Source organism: Homo sapiens, chromosome 17 (assembly GCF_000001405.40).
Source record: "Homo sapiens chromosome 17, GRCh38.p14 Primary Assembly".
NCBI classification, from domain to species: Eukaryota; Metazoa; Chordata; class Mammalia; order Primates; family Hominidae; genus Homo; species Homo sapiens.
The window spans coordinates 49,421,329-49,442,247 of NC_000017.11; the positions used below are offsets into that span (position 1 = coordinate 49,421,329).

At 46.8% G+C, this 20,919-nt stretch overlaps 1 pseudogene, besides 1 other annotated feature; it reads right to left on the minus strand.

The window, feature by feature from the left end:
* EIF4EP2 (eukaryotic translation initiation factor 4E pseudogene 2) lies at positions 1,959-3,577 on the minus strand (annotated as a pseudogene).
* Positions 17,638-17,697: an enhancer, noted in NCBI's record as "active region_12362". NCBI's record gives its function as "activates an Ori minimal core promoter by ATAC-STARR-seq in GM12878 lymphoblastoid cells {active_cell/tissue: GM12878}" and the evidence as "EXISTENCE:reporter gene assay evidence [ECO:0000049][PMID:35858748]".

The following is a 20,919-nucleotide window of genomic DNA, read 5'->3' on the forward strand; positions in this document are numbered from 1 at the left end:
CTTTGTGTCCTAACATATGGTCTATTCTGGAGAATGTTCCATGTGCTGATGAGAAGATTATATATTCTGCAGCTGTTAGATGAAATGTTGGGTAAATGTTAGGTCCATTTGGTCTGGAGTATAGTTTAAGTCCAGTGTTTCTTTGTTGATTTCTGTCTAGATAATCTATCCATTGCTAAGAGTGGGGTGTTGAAGTCCCCAACTATTACTATATTGGAGTCTATCTCTTTATTTATTTATTTATTTAGGAGACAGGGTCTCACTCTGTCACCCAGGCCAGAGTGCAGTGGCACGATCTCAGCTCACCACAGCCTTGACTTCTCAGACTCAGGCAATCCTCCCACCTCAGCCTCCCCAGTAGCTGGGACTATAGATGCATGCCATCATGCCTGGCTAATTTTTTGTACTTTTGTAGAGATGGGGTCTTGCCATGTTGCCCAGGCTGGTCTTGAACTCCTGGGCTCAAGTGATCCTCCCACCTCAGCCTCCGAAAGTGCTGGGATTACAGGCGTGTGCCACTGTGCCTGGCCTATCTCTTCCTTTAGATCAAATCATATTTACTTTATATACCTGGATGCTCCAATGTTGGTTGTATATATATTTAGAATTGTTATATCCTCTTGCTGAATTGATCCTTTAATGGTTATATAATGACCTTCTTTGTCCTTTTTTTTTCAGTGTTTCTGACTTAAAGCCTGTTTTATGTGATATAATTATAGCTATTTCTGCTTGCTTTTGTTTTCCACTTGCATGGAATATCTTTTCTCATCCCTTTACTTTCACTCTAAATATGTCTTTACAGGTGAAGTTAGTATTTTTATAGGCAGCATATAGTTGTATCATTAAAAAAAATATCCAGGCCGGACATGGTGGCTCACGCCTGTAATCCCAGCACTTTGGGAGGCCGAGGCGGGCAGATCACCTGAGGTCAGGAGTTCAAGACCAGCCTGTCCAACATGGAGAAACCTGGTCTCTACTAAAAATACAAAATTAGTTGGGCATGGTGGCAGCCACCTGTAATCCCAGCTACTCGGGAGGCTGAGGCAGGAGAATGGCATGAACCCAGGAGGCGGAGCTTGCAGTGAGCCAAGATTGTGCCATTGCACTCCAGCCTGGGTGACAGAGCGAGACTCTGTCTCAAAAAGAAGAAAAAAAAAATCCATTCAGCCAGACTATGTCTTTTAAGTGGGGAATTTAGTCTGTTTACATTCAAGGTTATTATTGATAGGTAAGGACCTGAGGACTTATTCCTGTCATTTTTGTTTGTTATTTTCTGGTTGTTTTGTGTATCTGTTGTTCCTTTCTTTCTCTCTTATTGTTTATCATTGCAGTTTGGTGGTTTTCTGTAGTGGTAATGTTTGACTCCTTTCTCATTCTCATTCAGGTATCTGCTCTACTAGCAAGTTTTATAGTTGCATGTATTTTGATGATGGTAGATATTGTTTTCTTGCTTCCAGATGTAGGACTCCATTAAGAATTTATTGTAGGACCTGTCTAGAGGTAATTAATTCTCCCAGTTTTTGCTTGTCTGGGAAAGACTATTTCTCCTTTATTTTTGAAGGATAGTTTTGCTGGGTATAGTAGTATTCTTGACTGGAAGTTCCTCCCTCCCCCACTTTCAGCACTTTGAATATATCATTCCATTCTCTCCTGGCTTGCTAAATTTCTGCTGAGAAATCTGTTAGCCTGGTGGGGATTTCGTTTTATGTGACTTGATGCTTTTCTCTTGCTAAATATATATATTTGAGATGGGGTCTTGCTCTGTTGCCCATGCTGGAGTGCAGTGGTTTGATTATGGCTCACTGCAACCTTGACTACCTGGGCTCAAGAGATTCTTTTACCTCAACTTCCCAAATAGCTGGAACCACAGGTACACGCCACCATGCTTGGCTAATTTTTAAATTATTTATAGAGATGAAGTCTGACTGTGTTGCCCAAGCTGGTCTTAAACTCTTTTTTTTTTTTAAAGACAATTCACTGTACACATTTTATTTACAGTTTTGTACACTGTTTTAATATGAATGGGACTGCTTTTCTACTTGAGCCATTTTTAACCAAAGCAAAATAACCTAAGTAATACAAAGTGTTAAAATACAGCATAAAGATACAAAAACAGACATACTAATTCTAGTTAGGAATGTAATTATGATGTTACATTTTTTATAATCCACAATTATGTTTAGGAAATCACACAAACATAGATCACTGATTTGAATGAAATGCATAAATTTGTAGCAAAGCTTTGTAGTTACAAAAAACAAAAAAAATTACCAAAGAATGCACAAAATTAATGTTTATTCCACCTTTGTGTCATATTCCTGGATCCTTCACCAATGTTACATGAGGAAAAAAACAAAAGCAAAACAAATGAAAAACTGAAATCAGAATCACTAATATTATCAAGTAGGGAAACAAATAAATTAAAATCTAGCAGCCATCAGCAAGAGTACAGCAAAGACAATGCTGTAAAAAGAAACAAAGAAAATTGCTAGAAAACTGTATGCATCATAATCTTTCAAACCAGCAAAATATGCTTCTGCATAAAATGGAACAACAGAATTTTTTTTCCTGTAAAGTATAGAAATGCCAAGTTGTTTTCTGACTATTGTGGATAGGTAAAATCTGTATGTAATTAATGGTAATTCTACTGAACTATTACAGAGTGGGCCAGGAACACATTTATGGATTCTGGAGATGTGTACTGTAATTCTTTGATTGGGATAGTGTAAACTCTAGCCAAAAAAAAAAAAAAAAAAAAAAAAAAAAGAACACAGAAGTACAAGACAAAGGCGAATGAGACTTCTCTTATATCTGAGTAACATTTAGATGGAAATCAAATTTAAATGCAGTCCACTCTGCTTTTTGAAGAGGCTTTGGTTCAGCTCCCAAATCTCGATTGCTTGACGCAGTCTCCTATGAGAATACTCAGAAGGTGTCTTCTTAAACAACAAACCTATTTTTAGTGGTGGAGCCGCTCTTAGTAGCTGTGTCTGCGTGGGACTGATAACCAATCACTATCTTTGGAGGAAGTCCTAACCTTTCCTTGTATACCCTCCCTATATGTGTAACAGCTTCTCTGTTTTCACATTCAGTAGTCCATATTGCTATCTTATCACCTTTAGCTCTAACATTAACAACAGCGCCACATACATCATCACTGTAGTCATCAAAAGATTCTCCAATAAGGCACAGAAGTGTCTCTAGCCAAAAGCGATCGAGGTCACTTCGTCTCTGCTGTTTGTTCAATGTAATTAGCCATCGTCCTCCCCGTTTGTTTTTCTCATCTTCCCACATAGGCTCAATACCATCCTTAAAAAGTGAGTAGTCACAGCCAGGCATTAAATTACTAGACAACTGGATATGGTTGTACAGAGCCCAAAAGTCTTCAACAGTATCAAACTTGGAGATCAGCCACAAGTTTGCTTGCCAAGTTTTGCTTTTATCATTTTTAAAAAACCAGAGTGCCCATCTGTTCTGTAGGGGATGTTTAATATAGTGTTCTGGGTTAGCAACCTCCTGATTAGATTCCGTTTTCTCCTTTTCTGTAGTCGGGGGATTAGGAGTAGGGGTGGTTTCCGGTTCGACGGTCGCCATCTTAGATCGATCTCGGTCTTAAACTCTTGAGCTCAAGGGATCCCCCTTCCTTGGCCTCCCACAGTGCTGGGATTATAGGTATGACTTACCATGCCTGGCCTGCTCTTGCTGTTTGTAGAATTCTCTGTCTTTAACTTTTGACTGTAATGTGCCTTGGAGAAGACCTTTTGGGTGGAATCTATTTGAGGATCTTTGAGCTTCTTATATCTGGATGTCTATATCTTTTGTAAGACTTGGGGGAATGTTCCAGCTATTATTTTGTTAAATAGGTTTTCTATGACTTTGCCTCTCTCTTTGCCTTCTGGAATGCCCCAGTTTTAATATTTGGTTGCCTTATGGTGTCCCATGTCTTTCTTTTTCTTCTTCTTCTTCTTTTTTTTAGTTTTGGTCTGACTGGGTTATTTCAAAAGACCACCCAAAACCAAAAGCTATTAGAACTAACAAACAAATTCGGTGAAGTTGCAGGATACAAAATCAACCTACAAAACTCAGTAGCATTTCTATATATCAATAGCAAACAATCTGAAAAAGAAATCAAGAAAGCAATTTTACACTAGCCGCAAAGAAATTTGTGTATTTTTATTTTTATTTTTGAGACAGGGTCTTGCTCTGTCACCCAGGCTGGAGTGCAGTGGCGTGATCTTGGCTCACTGCATCCTCAACCTCCAGAGTTCAACTGATCCTCTCGCCTCAGCCTCCTGAGTAGCTGGGACCACTGGTGCACACCACCATGCCCAGCTAATTTTTGTACTTTTCGTAGAGACAAGGTTTCACCATGTTGCCCAGGCTGGTCTTGAATTCCTGAGCCAAGCAATCCCCCCTCCTAGGCCTCTCAAAGTTCTGGAATTATAGGTATGAGCCACTGCGCCTGGCCAAAAATTAAATAGCTAGGAATTACCGTAACCAAAGAAGTGAAAGATCTCTACAATGAAAACTATAAAACATTGGTGAAAGAAACTGAAGAGGACACAAAAAAATGGAAAGCTATTCCATGTTCATGCATTGGAAGAATCAATATTGTTAAAATGCCTATACTAACCAAAGCAATCTACAGATTCAATGTAATCCCTATCAAAGTATCAATGGCATTCTTCACAGAAATAGAAAAAAAAATCCTAAAGTTTATATGGAACCACAGAAGACCCAGAATATTCAAAGCTATCCTGAGCAAAAAGAACAAAACTGGAGGAATCACATTACCTGGCTTCAAATTATACTACAGAGCTATAGTAACCAAAACAGCATGGTACTGGGCAGGGTGGGCCTGTTCTAAGGCCCCTGGATGGTATGCATGGGTGGTTGGCAGCAGCAGCAAACATGACAGATATTTAAACTTTTTGATCTTAGGATGCCTTCATATTTTTTAAAGCTGTTAAGTACTGCAAAGAGCCTTAGAATATGAATTATATATTTTTCAAATTAAAACAAAAAATTAAATATTACCCACTTACCCATTTAAGAATAACGGGTTGGGCACAGTGGCTCACACCTGTAATCCTGTAAGCACTTTGGGAGGCCGAAGCAGGAGAATCACTTGACTCCAGGAGTTTGTGACCAGCCTAGGCAACATAGAAAGACGCTGTCTCTACAAAAAATAAATTAGCCAGGTATGGTGGCACACCTGTCCCAGCTACTTGGGAAGCTGAGGTGGGAGGATTGCTTGAGCATGAGGGGGTTGAGGTTGCAGTGAGCTGTGATTGTGCCACTGCACTCCAGCCTGGGCAACAGAGCAAGACTATCTAAAAGAAAAAGAAAGAATAACAGTAAGAAACCCATTACGTGTTTACATATTATTACAAAATATAATGATAGTTTCCCAAACAAAACTATTTAGTGAGAAGAGTGACATCATTTGACATTTTTGCCGATCTTGGATTCTTCATTCAATTTGTTTTGCTATCATAAGTGATAACAGCCTCTGAAAAACTCTACTGGGCAGTCAGGAGAGAATGAAAGTGTAAAGAATAAATAATGACTTAGTATCATCACAAAAATAATTTTGCCTTCAAGTACCCACTGAAAGGATCTCAAGGACTGGCAGGGTTATGTGGATTACACCTGGAGAACTTCCTTAGAGTAAAACCCACCTCTGCATAACATTCACACACTCATCCACCTAAGCTTCCAATGAGTTTTTCAGTGCTTGTATTAGTTGGGATATTGAAGTTTAAGTTGCTGTTCCAAGGAGACCCCAGAATACAGTGGCCTAGAGAAGATGCAAGTTAATTTCTTTTTGCTCCACTTGTTGTTCACAGACCCAGTTTCCTTTTCTATTGTTGGTTTACCATCCCCTAAAAGATTATCTTCATCTAAGCATGGGATGTCTGTTCTAGCTTGCAGGAAAGGGAAAGTAGAGGAAATTCAGGGCAGCAATTTTGTTTCAAGCAAATGAGGCAGAAGCAGCACATACACTTTCCACTCCATTCCATTGTTGAAAACTTGGTTACATGACCTGATGTAGTCACAAAGAAGGATTGAAAAATGTAGTCTTTAGCCAGGCAGCCAATATACAAGAAGAAAGGATCTGAGGACTAACCAGCCATCTGCAGTGCTTCTCTTATTTATAAATAATCAGACACACATGATTTAAGTCCATTTGAGAAAAGCCATAACATGAAAGAGAAAACCAAAACAAACAAAAATAAACTAAGCAAAACAAAAACAAAACAAAAGGCTGGGTGTGGTAGCTCACGCCTGTAATCCCAGCATTTTGGGAGGCTGAGGCGGGAAGATCACAAGGTCAGGAGTTTGAGGCCAGACTGACCAACATGGTGAAACCCCATCTCTACTAAAAATACAAAAATTAGCTGGGCGTGGTGAAGCGCACCTGTAATCCCAGCTACTCAGGAGGCTGAGGCAGGAGAATCACTTGAACCCAGGAGGCGGAGGTTGCCGTGAGCTGAGGTCGCGCCACTGCACTCCAGCCTGGGGGATACAGCAAGACTCCATTTTAAAACACACACACACACACACAAACAAAACAAAACAAAAACAAAACAAAACAAAACAAAACAAAAACTTGGCTGAATCAGAGACAAGGTAAGGAGCATAGGAAATCTAAACAAATTTACCCTATCATTGATATCTTCAGGTAAAAGGAAAGATAACTACCATACATGAGAGTAGAACAAGATGCTATTAAGACAAAAAGGAAGAGATGAAAGATGGAACATTTCCTCCTAAAATCAAGAATAAAGTAAAGAAGGTACTGTTATCACTTTTTTTTTTGAGACAGAATTTCGCTCTGTTGCCCAGGCTGGAGTGCAATGGCGCAATCTCGGCTCACTGCAACCTCCGCCTCCTGGGTTCAAGTGATTCTCCAGCCCCAGCCCCCTGAGTAGCTGGGACTACAGGCATGTGCCACCACACCTGGCTAACTTTTTTTTTTTTTTTTGGTAATCTTAGTAGAAACGGGGTTTCACCATGTTGGCCAGGCTGGTCACCAACTGCTGGCCTCAGATGATCCACCCGCCTCGGCCTCCCAAAGTTCTGGGATTACAGGAGGGAGCAACCGTGCCAAGCCTGTTATCACTTCTATTCAACATTGTCCTAGCCAGTACAATAGCCTACAGTAGGCTACAAAAATATATAGAAGTCATGTAGATTGGAAAAGAAGTTAAACTGCCCTTATTGGCAGATGGACTGTGTGTATATAGAAAATCCTAAAGAATATAGAAAAAGCTATTAGAACTAGTAAGTGAGTTTAGAAGGGATGCAGGACATAAGGTCAACATACAAAAACCAGCAACAAACATCTGGACATTGCATTTTTTTTTTTTTTTTTTGGCAGAGTCTCACTCTGTCGCCCAGGCTGGAATACAGTGGCGCCATCTCTGCTCACTGCAACCTCCCTCCACCTCCCAGGTTCAAGCAATTCTCATGCCTCAGCCTCCCTAGTAGCTGGGATTACAGGTGTGCACCACCATGTCTGGCTGATTTTTGTATTTTTAGTAGAGACGGAGTTTCTCCATGTTGGCCAGGCTGATCTCGAGCTCCTGGTCTCAAGTGATCCACCCGCCTTGGCCCCCCAAAGTGTTGGGATTACAGGCATGAGCCACTGCACCCAGCCTGAAATGTTTTATTTTATTTTATTTTATTTTTTATTTTTTTTTGAGACAGAGTCTCGCTCAGTCACCCAGGCTGGAGTGCAGTGGCCCGATCTCAGCTCACTGCAAGCTCCGCCTCCCAGGTTCATGCCATTCTCCTGCCTCAGCCTCCCGAGTAGCTGGGACTACAGGCACCCACCACCACGCCCGGCTAATTTTTTGTATTTTTAGTGGAGACGGGGTTTCACCGCGTTAGCCAGGATGGTCTCGATCTGCTGACCTCGCAGTCTGCCCGCCTCGGACTCCCAAAGTGCTGGGATTACAGGCGTGAGCCACTGCGCCCAGCCTGGCCTGAAATGTTTTAAATACCACTTATAATAGCATCAAAATGTGATATTTAGGAAAAATTTAATTACAACTGTATGATAAAAACTATGAATATTGCTGAGAAATTTAAAAAGACCTAAGTAAATGGAAAGATGCACCTTATTCACTGATGAAAAATTTCAGTGTTGTTAAAATGTCAGTTCTCTCCAAAATGATTTATGGATTTAAAGCAATGCCATATGAAACTCCAGAAAGTTTTTTGTAGAAACTGACAAGCTAATTCTAAAATTTATATGGAATTGCAAAGGACCTAGAATTGGCAAAACAATTTTGAAAAAGACAGCAGTGTTGGAGGCTTTAGGGTATCTGAAGGATATCGTGTACATCCATCTGTAAAGCTACAGTAACCTAGAAAGTATGGTATTGGTTCTCAATCCAACAGAACAGAGAATTCAGAAATAAACCCACACATGTATGGTCAACTGATTTTTGACAAAAATGACAATGTTATCCAATGGTTAATGGGTAGTCTTTTTTAAAAATGGTTCTCCCAGCCTGGCCAACATGGTGAAACCCTGTCTCTACAAACAATAAAAAAATTAGCCAGGCATGGTGGCACACCCCTATAATCCCAGCACTTTGGGAGGCTGAGGTGGGTGGATCACCTGAGGTCAGGAGTTCGAGACCAGCCTGGCCAATATGGCAAAACCCCATCTCTACTAAAAATAAAAATTAGCAGGGTGTGGTGGCACACGCCTGTAATCCCAGCTACTCAGGAGGCTGAGGCAGGAGAATTGTTGAACTCGGGAGGCAGAGGTTGCAGTGAGTTGAGATTGCGCCACTGTACTCCAGCCTGGGCAACAGAGCAAGACTCTGTCTCAAAAAAATTTAAAAAATTTAAAAAATTAAAAGCACAAATCATAAAATTTTTAACATTGATAAATTAGACTTCATTAAAATTAAAACTTCTGCGTTGAAACACATTGTAAAGGAAAAAAAGCCACAAACGGGGAGAAAATATGCCCAATATGTTTATATGACAAAAGACCTGCATTCAGTACACATAAAGAACTCTTGAGAACTACTTAGTAACAATAATACAAACTCAATTTTTAAAATGTTTTAAAAATAGACAAAATATTTGAACAGACAGTTCATCAAAGAAGATATAGGAATGGTATAGGAATGGCTAACAAACACATGAGAAGATGCCCGACATCATTAGTCATCAAGAAAATGCAGGCTGGGCATGGTGGCTCACACCTGTAATCTCAGCACTTTGGGAGGCCGAGGCAGGCGGATCACAAGGTCAGCAGATCAAGACCATCCTGGCTAATACGGTGAAACCCCGTCTCTACTAAAAATACAAAAAATTAGCGGGGTGTGGTGGCGGGCACCTGTAGTCCCAGCTACTTGGGAGGCTGAGGCAGGAGAATGGCGTGAACCCGGGAGGCGGAGCTTGCAGTGAGCCGAGATGGCACCATTGCACTCCAGCCTGGGCGACAGAGCAAGACTCCGTCTCAAAAAAAAAAAAAAAAAAAAATGCAGATTGAAACCATAATGAGATTACTATTACACATCCACTAAAATGACAAAAATTTTGACAGTACCAACTATTGGTGAGGATGTAGAGTAACTGGAACATTGCTGATGGGAGTGTAAAATGGCACAACCACTTCAAAAAAACTATTGCCAGTTTCTTATGAAATTAAACATATATTTACTATACAACTCAGCAATTTCATTCCTAGATATTTATTCAAAAACTAATGTCCATACAAGACTTGTACTCTCTCTGTGGCCCAGGCTGGAGTGCAGTGGCATGATCACTGCTCACTGCAGCCTGGAACTCCTGGGCCTAAGTGATTCTCCCACTTCAGCCTCCCAAGTAGCTGGGACTTCAGGCATGCACCACTGTGTCCAGCTAATTTAAAATTTTTTTTTTAGAGATGGGGTCTCACTATATTGCCCAAGCTGGTCATGAACTCCTGGGCTCAAGTGATCCTCCTGCCTTGGCCTCCCGAAGTGCTGGGGTTATAGACATGAGCCATCATGCCTGGCCTGTATCAGCTTTCTTCATAATAACCCCAAACTCGAAACAACTCAAATGTCTATCAAAAAATGAATAGATGGAAATCAGTGGTATGCAACGAAATACTATTGAGCAATGAACAGGAATTACTGCTACAATCAGCAACATGAATCTCAAATTATGATGAGTGAAAAAAGCCAGACTCAAAATGGTGTAGATTATAATGATTCTGTTTATATAAAGCTCCAGAAAAGACCAGTCTAATCTATAGTGTCAGAAAGCAGATTGGTGGTTGCCTAGGGTAAGGGGTAAGGTGATTGATTGTCACCATGCCTGGCTAATTTTTGTATTTTTAGGGGAGACAGGGTTTCACCATGTTGTCCATGTTGGCCAGGCTGGTCTCGAACTCCTGACCTCAGGTGATCCTCCCACCTCCACCTGCCCAAAGTGCTGGGATTACAGACGTGAGCCACCTCGCCGAGCTGACTCTTACTCCTCTCTAAGCCCCAGTTGAGAAGACTGTAGAAGAGGCTGCCCGGAAGCGGGACGGTGTCCTGGGCAGAGGTGAAAACAGAAGAGAATTTGCCAGTCATAGACCAGGAGCTCCAGAGGGCCTGTGGACGAGCTGGGGGGACTGTGGTAGGGCAGGGAGGAATAGGGGATTGAATGGGGTTGGAGACATGCAGAGCAGTGTGAGGCATGAGAGGCAGCATGGTGCTGGCTGACCACCCAGGCTTGGACTTCTCATGGTGATGGAGGTAAAGAAGGAAGGGAGGCAGGGGCAGGCTGGTCGGCTGGTCTCTGGAATGAGTGTGGGCTCGAGTCTCTTCCCTTCCTGATGCTGCCTTCCCTTAGTAACCTGGCCTTCCTCCACAGTGGCTCTCAGATCCCCGCTAATGGGGATGCCCAGAGTCTGTTTCCTGCTCATTCTCTTCTCACCTGTTTTCTTTATTGCAGTGAAATTTGGAAGTGCCGTGCCTTCCCCACACACCAGGTGACTGCCTTAGCACTAGGTCACTTGTATCTCAGCTTGTTTGTCCACTCCCCAAACTCCTGGAGGCCAGGACCACGTCAATTTATCTTTGAGTCCATTATATTTTAGGCCATGCTATGCTCAAGGTACATGGTCTCCGGGCATTGTTTGATAAAACAGAATAAATTCAGGAGAGGAAAGGGGAATAAACATGCTTAGTGAACATCTTCTCTGTAGGCATATGCTTGTCCCTTGAAAATCATGTGTATGATTTCCTGAGCAGAGCACTGGCGCTCAGCGGATATTCCAGATTATTATTATTAAGTTATATTATTATTATTTTATTATTCCACCTCATTGGGTAGGCGTTATTACCCCTACTCTATGTATTCATTTCACAAGTATTTCTTGAGTGCCTACTCTGTATCAGACACTGTGTTACACCCTGGGAATACTAAGTATATATGAGTGTGCTGGTTCTTCCTGGTGGAACCGCAAATCCCCAGATGCATTTGCTGTCCTGCACTGTGAGTAGAAAGGACAGTCCCTGGGGCTTACATCAACCTGGCTCACTTGCCAGCTGCTTCCAGGTGTTTTTAGCCAATGGGAGGCCCTGGCAGGGAATGGCCTGGGAGGGAAGTTGGAATGTTTCTTCCTTGTTCCCTTTGCTTTGGGCTGTGTTTTTGGCAGTAACAACTGCAGCCTCTTTAGGACCACCCCTCCTTCATGGCTCCAGCTCTCCAGGGACTTTGGTAACACCATTCTACTACTCCCTCCACTGTCATCCAGCACACACAGAGTGGGAGACACCATCCTGGTCATCTCAGGGCCCTGAGCTGTGGCTAAGTCCACAGGGGCTTCCTGGGCAGTGACCTGGGTAGACCAGCTGTTTGTCGTCGGCTCCTCCCTTGCTTCATGCTGTTCCCTGCCTGGCACAGCGCAACTGCCAATGCTCAGACAGAAGTGACTAGAGGGGATCTCCTGGCCTTCAGAGTCCAGGGCCTGACACACAGAGCACAGATTTCACTGGAAAGAAAAGAGAAAGGGAAGGAGGGATGGAGAAGGAAGGGAGGGAAGATGGACCTTGTATCTGAGTCCATCCTGTGAATCCATTCTCCCCAGGTCACTAAGCCTGAGGTTATAACCAAACAGGCTTCTGAAAGGTCACGGATCATGTAAAGGGAGACCTCTGTTGTAGGGAAAGGCCACTGAACTTGAGAATCATTCTTGCCAATTCTGTGATCTTGGGCAATACATTTGGCCTTAGTTTCCTACTCTGCAAAATGAGCACAGCTCTCATGCTTCAAAGCAGTGCACAAAAGCACCTCAAGGTTGCCAAGCACAGTGGCACACACTTGTAATCCCAGCAACTCCAGAGGCTGAAGTGGGAGGATTGCTTGAGCCCAGGAGTTCAAGGCCAGCCTGGGTAGCATAGTGAGACCCTCATCTCAAAAAAAAAAAAAAAAAAAAAGGCCGGGTGCGGTGGCTCACGCCTGTAATCCCAACACTTTGGGAGGCTGAGGCGGGCGGATCATGAGGTCAGAAGATCAAGACCATCCTGGCTAACACGGTGAAACCCTGTCTGTACTAAAAATACAAAAAATTAGCCAGGCATGGTGGCGGGCGCCTGTAGTCCCAGCTACTCGGGAGGCTGAGGCAGGAGAATGGCCTGAACCCAGGAGGCAGAGCTTGCAGTGAGCCGAGATCGCGCCACTGCACTCCAGCCTGGGTGACAAAGCGAGACTCTGTCTGAAAAAAAAAAAAAAATGAAAAAAAAAAAGCACACCTCAAGCTATGTAAGTGCTAGGTGTTGTTATAAGCATATCCAAGCTCATCCCCAGGACAGGATATCCTCCTCACACAGGACTCTTTTCTTCTTGCATCCTCAGAAATGTAGTCATAGCCAGGAGTGATAAGACATTTCATTCTAATTGGATGCCACACAACTAACTCTTTTTTTCCCTTTTTTTGGAGACAGAGTCTTGCTCTGTCGCCCAGGCTGGAGTGCAGTCGTGTGATTTCGGCTCACTGCAACCTCCACCTCCCAGGTTCAAGCAATTCTCGTGCCTCAGCCTCCCGAGTAGCTGGGATTACAGGCATGCACCACCCCGCCTGGCTAAATTTTTTTTTTTTATTTTCAGTAGAGATGGGGTTTTACTATGTTGGCCAGGCTGGTCTCGAACTCCTGACCTTAGGTGATCTGCTCGCCTTGGCCTCCCAAAGTGCTGGGATTACAGGCTTGAGCCACTGTGCCCAGCCTTTCTTTCCATTTTTTTCTCACCATTTTTTTTTCAAGGTGACTTACAACTAATTCAACATGAAAAAAGAGAGGAAAGGTCATGAAAATCATACCCCTTCCCCTCCCCAGGATTTTCCAATAGGCGAAAATTTTCAGCTCCTAAAAGCCCATGTGGAAAAAGAAAACAGATGGGCTCTGGGAAGTGTTGCAAAGCCCTGGGAAGGGCTCTGAGTCCCCTCTGTCCTCTGAGGTCAGGTGGAGGGGTCAGGGAAGGAGACAGGTCTGCAGGGACCTGTAGCCAGAAGGGATGAGGCGGGGGCTAGGTGTGGAGCACCCAGTACATGAGAGGCACTGTGTCAGACTCTAAGGAAACAGAGGGGAAGCCAGCACTCTGGCCCTCAAGGAGCTCTCAGGCTTGCCAGAAGCATTTGGATGGGACAGGGCGGGCTGTGGATGGACTCGAGCCTCCAACCCCTCACCATACACTGTGGAAGCACCCCAGTTGTGGCCTGGGAAGGGATCTTGCTAGGGTCAAGTCTCAGCTCCGGCCAGAGTGAATGTCTCCTACATGGGGAGGTGGAGTTTCTGTTGGTGGATGAAGAACCGGAACTGGGCCCAATTTGGTGACTGGTCAGAGGGTACTGAGGTCCTATGCTCCAGGGACTTCCCTTCCAAGCCGACCTGGGACAAAAAGTAATGCTCCTTTTGTCCGCTAGGAGGAGCCAGTGTCCTTGAGTGGACTGTAGGGTGGCCCCCACCCCCACCCCACCCCATCTAGGGACAGGGAGCATTCAGCAGGTGGGAAGGGAGAGCGGTCTGCAGGTCACCCAGCCTTCCCTGGAGCTCTTCCCCTTTGACCTGGGCTCCGGCTCTCTCCTTTGTCACACATGGTGGTGGTGGGCAGTGGGATTCCAGCTCTATGGAAATACAGATTGTGCGTAAGTCAAAAGCAAATCTTTACTTCACCTCGCCAACCCAGAGTGTGGGCAAACCGGGGGGGCAGTTTGGGTAAAGTCATTCTACCCATCTGAGCCTCCATTTCTCATCCGCAAAATGCAAGCTTTGTTAAGCCAGATGTTTTCTAAGGCATCACTATGGGGATTTTGAAGTCCAGTGATTCCTAGTGCTGCCCCTTCCTCTCTACCCTCAGCCTTTCCTGATTTCTGCAAGTGCACACCACCAGCCAGTCCCATAACAGAGCTTCCTGCCCCTACGTTCACCCCCAATGCAGGGACATTCCTCTGGCAGGTGTGAGAGGCAGAGTCCCTGGGAAACCAGGAGACCTCTGCCAAGATCCACACTCTTGGCATCACCTGGGCCTCTCATTCCAGGTCATGTTTTATTTCCAAGCACAGACTGTGTTTCCAACTCAACCAGATCTCTCCACCCACACGTCTCTCGGGTACCTGCACCCCAATGTGCCCAAGGCTTAGCTGTCCACCCCCACTCCAGGCTGCTGTCCATTTCAGCGGTGGCCCAGCACCCTCCCAATCCCCCAAGCCTGAAGTCTGGCTGTAAATATCAAGCCTTCTCTTCTCGCACTTTCTCTTTCCATATTCATGTGGCCAAAAAGTCCAGACAGGCTTACCTTGAATGCGCCCACCTCTCCTCTTTCCCGCTGCCCCTGCCCTAGTTCAGGCCTTCATTGTTTCTTTCCGGAACCGGCTGGTCTCTCTGACTCCAGTCTGTCCTCTCTCCAATCTATCATCTATCTATGCTGCTGCCAGAGAGCTCTTTCTAAAGCACAAATCTGATTATGCACATCTCTGCTTTAAAATCTTGGCTGTAGCCTCGTGGCCTAAAGATAAATCCAAAGTCCTAATGAGGCTTCCAAGTCCATTCATGGTCTGACCCTTGCTTCCCAGTCCAAGCTCATTTCCCAGCATGCTCCTGGGCCCATCCACACCACATTGCTCCCCACCCTCTGATCTGCCTGTGCTCTTTCAGGGTTCTTGCCTTTGCAAACACTGTCCCCTCAGCCAAGAACTACGACCCTGATTTTTGCTTGGTGAACTTGGACTTCTCCTTGAAGACTGAGCTCAAGGCTGTTCAGCCTTTCCCAAGTGTCCCAGGCAAGGTTTCCATCACCCCTCTTATATTTCTTTATCATCTGTCTGCCTCCTGCACTAGACTGTAGTCCCCTATTTAGCTCTGTTCCTCCACATCTAACCAATGCTTGATGTGTGGTAGGGATTTCTTACATGTGCTGAATGAATGAATGAATGCGTATGCATGAATGGTCTGGGAAATGGCACGCTCAATTGCACTCTTCCTTTTTTCTCTGCTGGAGCCCACTGAGCAAGGGAAAGGGAAAATGGTAGGAGATGAGATGGGGGACATGGGTGGAGACCAGACCAAGTAGGGCTTTGGGAACCAAAAATATAGAATTGGGATGATTTCTCTCTTATTGGATCTCAGGTACACAGATTTAATCAATCAATCATACTCCTCAGAATGATATATTGTTGTCATTGTCATCTGACTATTTTTTGGTCCCTCTCTCATACGCAGTGAGAATCCATAAACATTTATCTTATGTGAATCCTTCCATCCTCCCTACTTTTACTTACAGGAGAATTTGCGTTTCATTCTCAAAGCAATGAGAACTCTTTGGAGGCTTTTAAGCAAGGGAGTGACGTGATCTGATTTTCATTTTATAAGGATTGCTCTGTCTGCAATCATAGAGGACAAAAGTGGAGCTGAGGGACCAGATAGAGGCTGCTGAAGTGCACGAATGAGGAATGGTGTTCGGTGGAAGAGTGGAGGTAGAGAGAGAGAAAAATGGGCAGGTGGGCGTAGGTACTGGAGGAAGAGAAGACCAGACTGGCTGGTGTATGAGATGTGGGAATCAAGAGGGGGAAAGGCCTCCACAGTGAAGGTTTCAGCTGTTCTGGAGAGTAGTTTAGAGGCAGCCTTTGGTTGGAAAGGGAGCCGGGGAACTTGTCTAGAAGCTGGGTCTACATAGCAAGCATATCTTTCTTACTTAGACTATATTTGGGGAGGGGCAATAAAGACTATTTATTTGGGGCAAATGAAGGGATGCTTAGAGAGATAATGGAGGAAGGAGGGTTTGTCCCTCCAAGCCAATCCCTGCCACCAGCCCCCAACCCCCACTTTTTTTTTCTCTGAGACAGAAAAAAGCCTCCTCCTCCCAGGTTTGATTCTCCTGCCTCAGACTCCCAAGTAACTGGGATTACAGGTGGGCACCACCATGCCCAACTTATTTTGTGTTTTTAGTAGAGATGGGGTTTCACCATGTTGTCCAGGCTGCTCTTGAACTCCTGACCTTAAGTGATCCACCCGCCTTGGCCTCCCAAAGTGCTGAGATTACAGGCATGAGCCACTGCCCCCAGACCAAGCCAATCCTTAACACCACCACAGGCCACAGGGCCTTTGCATAGGAGGCTCTCTTCCCGAATCTGTGCAAACCAACTCCTCTTTCCATCAAGGTCTCAGCTCAAAGATCATCTCAGAAAAGCTCAAAGATTATCTCTGGCATCCTGGCTGGAGAGATGACACTACCTCCTGCCCCTCACCATCACCCTCTACACTCTCTTTCACTTTCTTATAGCACTTATCAAAGCTTTGACGCAGTTCTCTGGTGCAGCCACCTTCTAGAGCTTTTGGTGCACTTCTGAGGCTCCCCTCCACCTCTTCTGTTTCGAGGACCTTGGTGGGCTTTGATGGAGACAGAACCAAGAACCCAGCGCCAAGGTCCAGGCCTTTGTGAGGTGCTGGTGCAGGGGTCGCACACCCAGCTGCCAATCAAGTGAAGGGAGGGAGGAAAATGAACATCTAAGACCTCAAGCTGGAAGAAGTCTCAGTCCCAGAAGGTGGTAACTGGTTCCCCTGCCCCTCTTCCTACCCCCTCCCACAGCTCGGCCAGCTGCTGGAGGGACGCTGCAGGGGAAGGAGGCAGGGTGATTAAGAGCTCTGGTTGTCAGGGCTGGGGCCAGGGGGCACGCCCCCTGGGTGACATTTTCTCGCATTGTGTCCTCAGAACAAAAACGAGTCTTATTTGAGGAGCTGGATGGGGGAGGGGGCCGGGGGGCTGAAGCGACCGAGTGGAATCGTGGCTCCAGGGAACAGCGATTACTCATCAAAGGCCAGGGCAGCCCACGTCTTTGTGTGCCCTCCGCAGCCCGCCCGTGCCTGGCCACAGGCCCCCAGCCCTAGACATCCCCCTGACGGCCCCCAAAGAGCAGGGCTGGGGTGGGAGAGACCTGGGATCGTGTGTGGGCACAGAGCCGGGACAGGCGCGGTGGGGGCAGGGGTGACCAGGGCAGGCTTCCTGGAGGATGGGAGTGTGGAAATGCACAGGACAGAGGGGAGGCGCAAGAAGGAGAACGGCTGCAGGCTAAGGGGGAAAAAAAGTGGGTCTCCGGAGACCAGGGGGTGAGTGCAGGGGGACGGGGAGGGGGCAGAACTTCTAAGGTGTCAACTCAGCCCCCGGATGGAGTGTCCTGGAGTGCTTGGGGGAAGGGGCCGCTTCCTGCTACAATGGCTATTTTGGGGCCTGAATCAAATCAAATCCGCTGCAGCCCCCAGAGCCCCCAGCAGCTGCGCAGAACAGCTGTCCGGCTGAGGGCGCTGAGCGGCTGGAATGGCACTTCCTGCCCCCCACTGATCTCTGGCTGCCCAAGGGTGTGCGTTGCAGGGGAAGGGGGAAGAGGATGTGAAAGGGCTTTGGGCTCAAGTCAGAAACCTGGGCTAAGATGGTGTGCTTTCCTCCTCCTGCTCTGTGTGACCGCGGGGCTGAGACTGGCATAGAGATGCCAGTTCTGGGGCCATCCTGAAGCTCTTCCCTGCACCTTCACCCTCCATTCAGTCCCTACAAGGTATCTCCCCAGGCCCAGACAATCCCTACCTGAGCAGTCCTCCTGATCTTCCCCCCAGGAAGCCCTTCTAGTTTCTCTTGATGGGAAGAGCCCTTTCCTCATCTGCCGCCTCCCAACCTCAAAGGCTGTTCCCAGACTGGTTCCCTGCAGGCAGAGGAGCATCTCTCCCATCAGATCTGGATTTGGTTCTTCCTCTAGCTGAACTCCCAGCCATCCACTTGGTATTTACTCACAAGGCACCTGAGGGTTGACACGGAAGACAGGTAAGCTTCCCGGCAGGTGCCTGTTCAATCTCCTGATTGTGCTGAAGGGGCCTCATGCATGCCAGCTAAAAACCCATAGGCTGGCATGTAATAGAGTTGGGGGGAGCACTGAACTGCCTCCTCCAGGAAGCCTTCCTGGGACAGGCAAAAAGGAGAGGTCTCTTTCTTTTTGGTCCACCCTGGCTCAAGGCCAGCCAATGTCCACAAGAGTGACCAAAGCTAGGACATGCCCTGGGGCTGCCATGTCCCTCAGGTCACTAGTCCATGACGGGGTCCCTCGTGCCCATCTTGTGCAGAAAGAACCCCATTGTCCAGGGGGCATAGCTGAGGGGTGAGTTCAGAGCCCAGAGATGTTGACCACAGGGCTGGTCATCAGTCTTCTGACCACAGCAGGAGGGAGTTGGGGAACTGTGTGGTCTGTGGGGGTGAGGGGCAGGCACACACTAGTGCACACACAGGACCATAAGCCCAGACACTGCCCTCCTCATCCAAGCACACACTCCCCCGTGCTCCCCCCAGGACGGCCCCTCCCTTTGTTTTTCCGCATTCCTGCTGGCAGATGCTCCATTCTTTTCTTCCCCAAGCAAGCCAGGGAGATCTCCACCTTCCGGGGTGGGGGGGCTCCGGACATAGCAAAAGTGGGGGGAAGCAGGGATGTGCCACCTGTCCCTGGGGGCAGGGGCAGCCCCTGGAGCCCCACCCACACTGGGATGAGAGCCCAGGGTGCTTTGATCTCCTGTGCGGTGCGCCTGTTGTGGAAGCTGCCAAGATTAACAGAGATGCACACACAGGTCTTTTAGCCAGGTCTGCAATTCCTGAGCTTGTTTCCAGATCAGAGCCCTCATCTTCCTTCAGAGACCTCTTCACTAATGGACCTCCCACCTCTTTCCTCACTGAATCTCTCCCCTCATTGAACCCCCTCTCCTCTCCCATCCCTATCTCTATGAGTCATCCCATCTCTGGGAGATTGGTGTCCTTTCCTTCCAATTTCCATGGGCCCCAGAAGGTCTGGTCTACAACACAGACCCCGTAGGTAGTGGCTGAGACAGGTTGCACTGGTTTGCTTGTGCCCAACCCCCTAAAGACACACAGTGCACCTGTCATCACCACCACCACCACCACCACCACCCCTGTGCAGGCCCAGCCTGAGAAGGCCCATCTGGACTCAGGAAGTCCTGCCATTTCAGCAGGTTGAGGTTCCTGGGCCCCCAGGCTCCAAGTAGACCAGAGACTGGTAAGAAGTGAATGGCAGGTGGAGACTAGTAACCAGACTCTGAGTTGAACTTGATTTTGGCCCTGAATCCATCTGAGGTAGAGTCCTATGATCTAGCCTTCTTCTTCTTCTTCTTTTTTTGAGACAGAGTCTCACTCTGTCGCCCAGGTTGGAGTGCAGTGGCACAATCTCGGCTCACTGCAACCTCCGCCCCAGGGTTCTAGCAATTCTCTGACCTCAGCCACCCAAGTAGCTGGGATTACACGTGCCTGCCACCACGCCCGGCTACTTTTTTTGTATTTGTAGTAGAAACAGGGTTTCGCCATGTTGGCCAGGTTGGTCTCAAACTCTTGACCTCAGGTGATCCACCTGCCTTGGCCTCCCAAAGTGCTGGGATTACAGGTGTGAGCCACTGCGCCCGGCTGATCTAGCCTTCTTGTAGGATCATTCACACATATCACTGTTTCCCTCATAAGCATCCCAAAGCGGGAGGAGGCCCATTCCCCCTTCCACTCTCTCCCAGCCCAGGAACAGCTCGCTCCAGAGTGGCCTGGCTCTGATGATCAGGAACTCATTGTATCTGTACAGTCTCAATTCTGCCTGCGGTGAAGGAGACCCCACCCTAAGTGAAAGCAGGGACTGTGGGGTCCACGTGGGATTCAGGGAGGGTGGGAGAGTGAGACCCAAAGAGAGCCAGAGATAAAGACAGAAAGCCAGAGAGGTAAGCAATGGAGAGGCAGAGAAGATGGATGGATGGATGGAGGGATGGAGGATTGGAGGGAGGGAGAAAAAGAGAAAAGCGGAGGGAAGAGAGGAAGGTGGAGGGGGAGGGGAGGGGAGGGAGAGAGGGGAGACATAGTGAAGAAGTGCTGAGCCAAGATGAGAGGAAGGAAGCTATTGGCCCCTCTCCCTCCCTCCCTGCAGCCACACCAGGCAAAACTCCAGACACAAATGCATCTCAATGGGCGTCTGGCAGGGAGGCTCCAACTGCTCTGAGGTTCTGAGGTTCCGCTGAGCTCACCTGGCCAAGTGTGTCAAAACTCCCACCAGCATCACCCCAGCACCACCTAGAAGCACTCTGAGCCCCACTCTGAAGATAATTCTGGGAATGAAAAAGAAGTCGAAACCTGCCCAAGTCCTCCGAGAGGGTCTCGGGTCCTTCCCCAGTCCCTTGCATTGCTGGAAACCCTTTCCCCTAGAACAGAGCTACACTAACTGCCAGGAGGCCAGGCCTGTTGGCAGAAACAGAGATGACCCCCTCTCCCACCTTCCGCTTTGCCACTCCAGTGACTATTTGCTGACTGTCTCTTTCTTGCTGCTAATCGCTCGGCCCCGTCTAATTGGTAATTAGCCTTGCGAGCCCAGCCTGTGCTTGGCTAATTGCTGTTTGTCTC